Source organism: Homo sapiens, chromosome 15 (assembly GCF_000001405.40).
Source record: "Homo sapiens chromosome 15, GRCh38.p14 Primary Assembly".
NCBI lineage: Eukaryota > Metazoa > Chordata > Mammalia > Primates > Hominidae > Homo > Homo sapiens.
Window position 1 is genome coordinate 30,392,415 of NC_000015.10, and position 7,811 is coordinate 30,400,225.

The 7,811-nt window shown below is 55.7% G+C and overlaps 1 protein-coding gene and 1 pseudogene across 5 annotated transcripts in view; one reads left to right on the top strand and one right to left on the bottom strand.

Annotated features, from left to right (window-relative positions):
* CHRFAM7A (CHRNA7 (exons 5-10) and FAM7A (exons A-E) fusion) overlaps positions 1 to 1,486 on the bottom strand; it is a 33,335-nt gene extending 31,849 nt beyond the window's left edge. For 3 of the 5 annotated variants that reach the window (XM_011522155.4, XM_005254750.4, NM_148911.1), the window contains exon 1: positions 838 to 1,247. The gene's annotated coding sequence lies outside the window, so the exon portion shown is untranslated. Of the gene's footprint in view, positions 1 to 837; positions 1,248 to 1,379 lie in introns of those variants that run through there. The other 2 variants (XM_011522153.3, NM_139320.2) reach the window with 2 other exon arrangements.
* Positions 2,731 to 6,180, top strand: DNM1P29 (dynamin 1 pseudogene 29; annotated as a pseudogene).
* The last annotated feature ends 1,631 nt before the right edge of the window (positions 6,181 to 7,811 follow it).

The window sequence follows — 7,811 nt, forward strand, 5'->3', positions numbered from 1 at the left end:
GCAGGAGAATCGCTTTAACCAGTGGACTGTCAAGAGAGGTAGGCTGCAGTAAGCCGAGATCGCGCCACTGCACTCCAGCCTGGGCGACAGAGTGAGTGAGACTCTGTCTCAACAAAAAGAAAAAAAGAAAGAAAACTTTTTTTTGAGAGAGAGAGAGAGAAGTCTCGCTCTTCTCCCCCAGGTTTGAGTGCAATGGCTCGATCTCAGCTCACTGTAACCTCCGCCTCCCGGGTTCAAACGATTCTCCTGCCTCTGCCTCCCAAATAGCTGGGATTAAGTCGCCTGCCAACACGACCGGCTAATTTTTCTATTTTTTAGTAGAGACGGGTTTCACCATGTTGGCCAGGCTGGTCTCCAACTCCTGACCTCAAGTGATCAGCCCGGTTGGCCTCCCAAAATGCTGGGATTACAGGCGTGAGCCACTACGCCCGGCCAAAAAACCGAAAATCTTAAAGGCCTTTCCCCTTCCCCGCCTGGGCTCCAACAACGCGGGAGCCGCCCTGCCCCGCCCTGTCGCGGTCCCTAGAGCAGGTGGGCTGACTGAGGGCGACCATGGGTCCCAAGAGGGCTCCCGCAGCGGCGGGCTCCCACCTCGAGGCGCAGCGACAGGGGCCGAGAGGGGCCAGCAGCCCCCAAGCCAGCCCCGCGCTAGGAGTTGGAGAGACGCGCCCTCCGCCTTCTCCCACCCAAGCCTCTGCCTTGCCGGGCGGGCCAGTTGCAGGAGAAAGGGGCGGGGAACCGCGGCCTCTCTGGGGCAGCTTCCCCTTTCTCCTGGGACTCTGGGCACCCGCTTTCCGCCCTCGCCCTGCCCCGCCAGGCCGCCACCCGGCGACTCACCTTAATGTTGCGGTGGGGCGTGAGCCGCGGCTGTGGCTCCTGGTTCTCCTGGAAGATAGAGGCCAGTAACTTCGGTTTGGCCTTGAACCCGGACATGGACATCTTCCCCTCACCTCCGGCGGGAGGGGCGCGGAAAAGGAGCCTGTCCCGAGCCGCTGTCATGGCCGCGACCACCAGGCGGGGCCCCCGGCCGAGCTCTCGCGGCTCCACCTCTCCCCGCCGCCGTGACCCTCGTGGGAGCGCGGCTGGAAAATGGCAAGGGGCACCGAGGACTTGGCGGGAGCTATGTGGCGGCCTGCGGGGCTGCTCCCTTTATAACCGACTCCACCGACAGGAGGCGCGGCTCCCGTCAAGCCGCAGTTTAAAAGGGCAACAGCACCACTGCCCCCGCTACCGCCTGGGAAAGGGCTGCCCCTACCCCGCCCCGGTCCTCGTCGCCCCTCACCTCTTACCCCTCACCCCTCACCCCTCAACCCGGCGCGCCCCGCGCGCACCCGGCGTGCCCGCGCTACCGGCTGCCCCCTCCTCTCTTGACCCAGCACCTTTCTGCCCGACCGATCTGGTCCCTTCCTCACACTCGCGACTGGGCGGCACAACCACCAACTCTGTGTGTGTGTGTGTGTGTGTGTGTGTCTATGTGTGTGTGTGTGTGTCCCTGTCCCAAGGGGGCGTGGCTCACGCCTGTAATCCCACCACTTTGGGAGGCTAAGGCGGGTGGATCAGGAGGTCAGGAGATAAGACTATCCTGGCTAACACGGTAAAACCCCGTCTCTACGGAAAAAATACAAAAAATTAGCAGGGCGTGGTGGCGGACGCCTGTAGTCCCAGCTACTTGGGAGGCTGAGGGAGGAGAATGGCGTGAAACCGGGAGGCAGAGCTTGCAGTGAGCTGAGAGCGCGCCACTGCACTCCAGCCTGGGCGACAGACCAAGACTCCATATAAAAAAAGAAAAGAAAAAAAACCTCAAAGGATCACTAGTGGTCAGCAACTGTGTGCAAATAAATAGGAAAACCTACCAAAAATGGATAAATTTCCAGACACATCTAACCTACCAAGATTGAACCATGATGAAACCCAAAACCTGAACAAACCAATAACAAATAATGGGATCAAAGTGGTAATAAAAAGTCTCCCAGCAAAGAAAAGCCTGGGACCTGATGATTCACTGCTGAATTCTAGCAAACATTTAAAGAAGAACTAATACCAACCTTACCCAAACGATTCCAAAAATAGAGAAGGAGGGAATACTTGCAAACTCATTCTACAGGGCTAGCATTACCCTGATAACAAAATCAAACACACAGACCAAAAAAGAAAACTACAGGCCAATATCACTGATGAATATTGATGCAAAAATCCTCAATAAAATATTAGCTAACTGAATTCCACAACACATTAAAGTTGGGGTGCAGTGTCCCAGGTTCACTCAACCCTTCCCGTTTTCCTCTCTGTGTGTGTCTACTTTGCCGTGTTCCCTGGTGGCGGCGGCGGTGGCAGTGTTGGTGCATGGGCCTCCCAGGACAAGGGGAAAGTGAGTATGCCCCTTTCTTGCCCCCTGCCAGGTGTCTGCAGCCTGGCACAAGCTCTGGCCAGGTCTCCAACAGGGGACCTGGAGATGTTTTTTTCCAATTTCTGGATTGGTAACTTGAGGCAGATTCTGGGCACTAGAGTCAGAACTAAGAGGAGACTGAATCAGGGGAGTCTGGGGTCCTGAGAGGCAGATACCTGAAACCGTCTAGAGCGTGTGGGGAGCTCGGTGCATGTTCACGCCAGTTGTTTTTCTCTGTGCCTCAATGTTCCAGGTACCCTTGGAGGTGCTGAGATCCTAGGGATTCCTGGAGCCTGGCTGCATGGCCTGGCCACCCTGATGCCACTGTGTTCTCCATGACAGGACAGCAAGGCTGAGGAGAATGGCTCCGACAGCTTCATGCACTCCATGGACCCATAGCTGGAGCGGCAAATGGAAACCACCCAGAACCTTGTGGACTCCTACATGGCCATTGTCAACAAGACCGTGTGGGACCTCATGGTTGGTGTCATGCCCAAGACCATCATGCACGTCATGATCAACAACGTGCATGCACTGCCTCATAGGGGCAGGGGGCTCCTATAGCACTGGGGATGCAGGTGGCCATGTTGGCCTGGGGGAGATGCTGACCAGCCCTATGGGACCAAGGTCCAGGGAGGGAGGCACAGTCCAGACCAGAGCTGTCTCATAGAAATATAACGTGGGACTGGGGACAGTGGCCCATGTCTGTAATCCCAGCACTTTGGGAGGCCAAGGCAAGAGGATAGCTTGAGCCCAGGAGTTCGAGACCAGCTTGGGCAACATAGTGAGACCTGATCTCTACACTAAAATTTTAAAAATAGCTGGGCTTGGTGGTGGCACGTACCTATAGTCCTAGCTACTCGACAGGCTGACATTGGAGGATCACTTTGAGCCCAAGAAGTTGAGGCTACAGTGAGTGGTGATCTCGCCCACTGTCCTCCAGCCTAGCGACAGAGCAAGATCCTATCTCCAAAAAACATTTTTAAGAAACTGAGTAGACCGGTGTCCTGGTGGCATGATAGGTCCTGGGTCCCCTCCCAGATGTGTGACCTTGGACAGGTGACTTTTCCTTTGGACCTCAGTGTCCCTATCTGAGTGAGAAAAGGGCGGTGGGGAGGCAGATCTTTGAGTCTAAGCGGTGTAGAAGCCGCGTCTGAAAAGCCATACTCAGGGCTCCAAGTCCAGCACACAGTCCCAGCAGGGCCCGGCAGGAGGCCAGGGCAGCAAAGGCATCAGGTCCCAACCTCCTTCCCTCTTTGCCCGCTCTCAGACCAAGGAGTTCATCTTCTCGGAGCTGCTGTCCAACCTGTACTCACGTGGGGACCAGAAAACGCTGATGGAAGAGTCGGCAGAGCAGGCACAGTGGCGCGACGAGATGCTGCGCATGTACCACGTGCTGAAGGAGGCACTCGGCATCATCGGCGACATCAACACGACCACCATCAGCACGCACATGGGGGCCCGTGGACAACTCCTGCCTGCAGGTGCAGAGCGTCCTTGCCGGATGCAGGTACCAAGGCTGGCTCCCACGGCCCCAAAGCCCCCCAGCCCCCATGGCTGAGCCTGGGGACTCTTGGAACAGGCTCCGTGCCCACGCTGGTAGACATGGGTGCTCCCTGGAGCCGTCACAGAGCTCATGGTTTATGGTGTAAGGGCTGAGAGCTTAGAGGGGGTGGTGTGTGGGGCTGTACTCTGAGGCGGCCAGAGTCCTAGGATAGTCCTCCTGTGCACACCGCACCTGTTGGGCAGTCTGAGTCATGCTGCCAGGGCAGGGCATCCAGCTCCCAGCCTGGGAGTGCTGAGAGCCAAATCCACTGCAGAGCAGGGGTGATAGTCAGAGTCCCACCTCCTCTATCTGTCGGCAATGCAGTGGTGAGATAGGATAAAACCTTGAGAGTCGCATACACACGGTCAACCCACAACACACCTCACAGGCCAGGCAGGAAACACAGGCCCCTTCCCTCCCTCCCAGGTACCATCATAGCTGCTAGCGTGTGACTGAAGGCAGGGTCCCTGGCCCCCGCTGAAGCACTATTGCTGGCCAGCAGGCTCACGCACCTTGGAGTGTTGCTCCTAGAGGTCACCTCTGCTATTCAGCCAAGGGGACCACAGTGCCTGCTGGCCCAGCTGACCTCCGCCCCACAAGCCCACCCACCTCCCCTGCCATAGACTCTCCCTCTTCTGCTTTTCCCAGCAGGAAGGGCCCAGCCTCACCTATCCGACCTGCAACCCCCAACAAGCTGAGGCTCCCCTCTTAGACTTATAAGTCTATAGCCAGTGGCATCCAGCTGCATGCCCTCCTTTCCTCCCCCAGGGACCCTTCAAGGGTTCCTGGGCTTTCTGACCCCCCAGAGGGGGCTCCGGCGATCACTCCACCCATCCATCCCTTTTAGCTTCATCATCCTGGTTCAAGCAGTGTTTCTTCTCTATCAGGCCTGGTGGCTGTTGTTTTGGGCTCCCCAAGGCGAGAGGTGGCCCTGGACAAGTGGGTTGGAAGACACGGTGACCAGAGAAGAGGGAAGCCCAAAGGGGCTGAGCATCAGTCTTAACAGTGGGTGCACTGGGTGCCGTGGAAGAGGCCAGCACGTGTGGGGTGGGGAGGGCTGCCACAGCCCCCAGGCACTACCTGTGAAACTCCGGCTCCTCCCTCTGTCTTCCTCCCCTTTCCCTTCCAGCCCCTCTTTTCCAGGAACCTTGCCACACCCGCACGTGCACCCTTTACTCCTTGGCCCTCCCACAGCTGCTGTGGCACACCTGTGCTCTGCACTTGCCTCACCAGCTCTCTGCTCGCTTTTTTTTTTTATTATTATTATTATACTTTAAGTTTTAGGGTACATGTGACAATGCGCAGGTTAGTTACATATGTATACATGTGCCATGCTGGTGCGCTGCACCCACTAACTCGTCATCTAGCATTGGGTATATCTCCCAATGCTATCCCTCCCCCCTCCCCCCACCCCACAACAGTCCCCAGAGTGTGATGTTCCCCTTCCTGTGTCCATGTGTTCTCATTGTTCAATTCCCACCTATGAGTGAGAATATGCGGTGTTTGGTTTTTTGTTCTTGCGATAGTTAACTGAGAATGATGATTTCCAATTTCATCCATGTCCCTGCAAAGGACATGAACTCATCATTTTTTATGGCTGCATAGTATTCCATGGTGTATATGTGCCACATTTTCTTAATCCAGTCTATCATTGTTGGACATTTGGGTTGGTTCCAAGTCTTTGCTATTGTGAATAATGCCGCAATAAACATACGTGTGCATGTGTCTTTATAGCAGCATGATTTATAGTCCTTTGGGTACATACCCAGTAATGGGATGGCTGGGTCAAATGGTATTTCTAGTTCTAGATCCCTGAGGAATCGCCACACTGACTTCCACAATGGTTGAACTAGTTTACAGTCCCACCAACAGTGTAAAAGTGTTCCGATTTCTCCACATCCTCTCCAGCACCTGTTGTTTCCTGACTTTTTAATGATTGCCATTCTAACTGGTGTGAGATGATATGCTCGCTTTTCTCTCTCCTGTCTTCTCTCTGCTTTCTCTCCAACTGCCAGCCAATCGGCTCAGGCAAGTCCATCCCATCCTGAGAGCCCCAGGCCCCCCTTTGACCTCTAAACAGATTCCTCCTCTTCTCAGAGACTTCCCTTTCCAAGCCTGCCTGGGCGGCTGTTCTGTGACTTGGCAGTGGCTCCCCCAGCCCCAAAGGCAGCCCCCTTCATCTGTGACTTCGTCTATTGTTGCGGTGAGCTGACACATCCAGGTGTGACCGTTGCTGAAAACTTGTGCCCCCCTCTGTGGTATGCCCCTGCCCTGTTCTAGAAATATCTACAAATACCCATATACATATACACACACACACACACACACACACACACACACACACACCTACATGTGGCCAACCGCCTCGCCTCTAGCGCTGGGAATCAGTCACCGTGCTGTCCTTTTGGAGTCTTGTGGCCAAACAAGAGAAAGCTAACCCCTGACATTGCCCCTCCAAAGTGCGCTACCTTCAGTGAGCCTCCCTGTCACGCCCAGCCTATGGAGAGACACACCCCGCCATCCCTCCCGCCCCCCCCCCCCCCACCAAGCATGGGAGTGCTGTGCAGGCAGCTGTGTGGCCTGACAGTCTCTACCAGTCCTGCTGTCCCTTGGCTGAGAATCAAACCCGCTTCTGGATGGCGGGGAAGTGTGTCCTCTGCTGGCTGTGTTCTCTGTGGAGCTCAGGGGAGGGGAAAGGCCAAGCCATTTCTAGGGTGCTGTTGGGAGCAGTGAAAAGGCCATGCCCTTTCCAAGGGACACTTTTCCTGGAAAGCCCCTGGAGCTTAGCTGGCTCTTATCCTGTGAAGCCGGCTCTGGCCACCAGGGGGCAGGGCCATGAACTCAGCCCAGAGGGAGCCTGCAGGGCAGCCGGCACTCTGGAGGCACAGACAGAACAGGCCACCAGGTGCAGACAGGAGAGGGAGACAAGGGGATAGAACGGAAGATGCCGGGGCTGGGTGGAAGTCAGTGCCCTTAGGTGCTGGTACCTGTCTTCCCGGCCACCGCTAGATCAGGCTTCTGAGCCTGTTGGCTGTCAGGGCCAGACTGCGCCCCATAGACTACATGGCAGTCCCCTTGGAATCCCCCAGGCGCCACCAGGCAGCATACAGGTAACACGCCTGGAAGGTCCCCAACAGCCTAGCTGGACATGCTCAAGACACTCTGGGACTCCTTGTTTGGTGGCACAAACTCCAGGACCCAGTGAGGGAAACGGAAACACACCAGGCCGAGCAGTATGGCTAAATCCATTTATTCCAAAATAAAAAGCAAAATAAACAGGAGTCGCATCACCAGGGAGCCACGACCCCATCCCCGCCTCCTTCCTCTGTCCTATGCTAGCAATAAATAAGTTTCCCAGCCACAAATAATTATTACAACCTCCTCCCCATGTGCCGGCTCCAACCTCAGCTAGGTATGACACAGGGGTGGCCCTACCCTCTGGAATATACAAAACCTTACACAGACACAATGTGTACACCGGGGAACGGGGGCCACCCCAGCAGCCCGTGCCCTCGCCTGGTCCACAGTTAGCCCCACTGTCCTGCCTCTCTGAATAAGAAGGGAGCCCCCCTGAGGGAAAAGTTGCTATGGTGAGAGTAAGGGGGACATCAGGCCTCCTCCAAACAAACCAACTCCACCAGCCTCTGGCTCTTAAATAACAATCATCATCATCCAGAAATTTAGGGACTCAGCCCTGGTCAGGGTGGCAAAGGGTCTGTTTGTCTTTCCCCATTAGACAGAGGTCTTGTCCTGCTACCCTAATTGTAAAGGGGTGCCTGGGAAGGGGTGGTAGGGACATGGTGGCGGTGGAGACTCCGGCCCCACTTCTCCAGGCTTTGCTGACAGGGGCCTGCTTTTAATTTTTATTTTTATTCCATG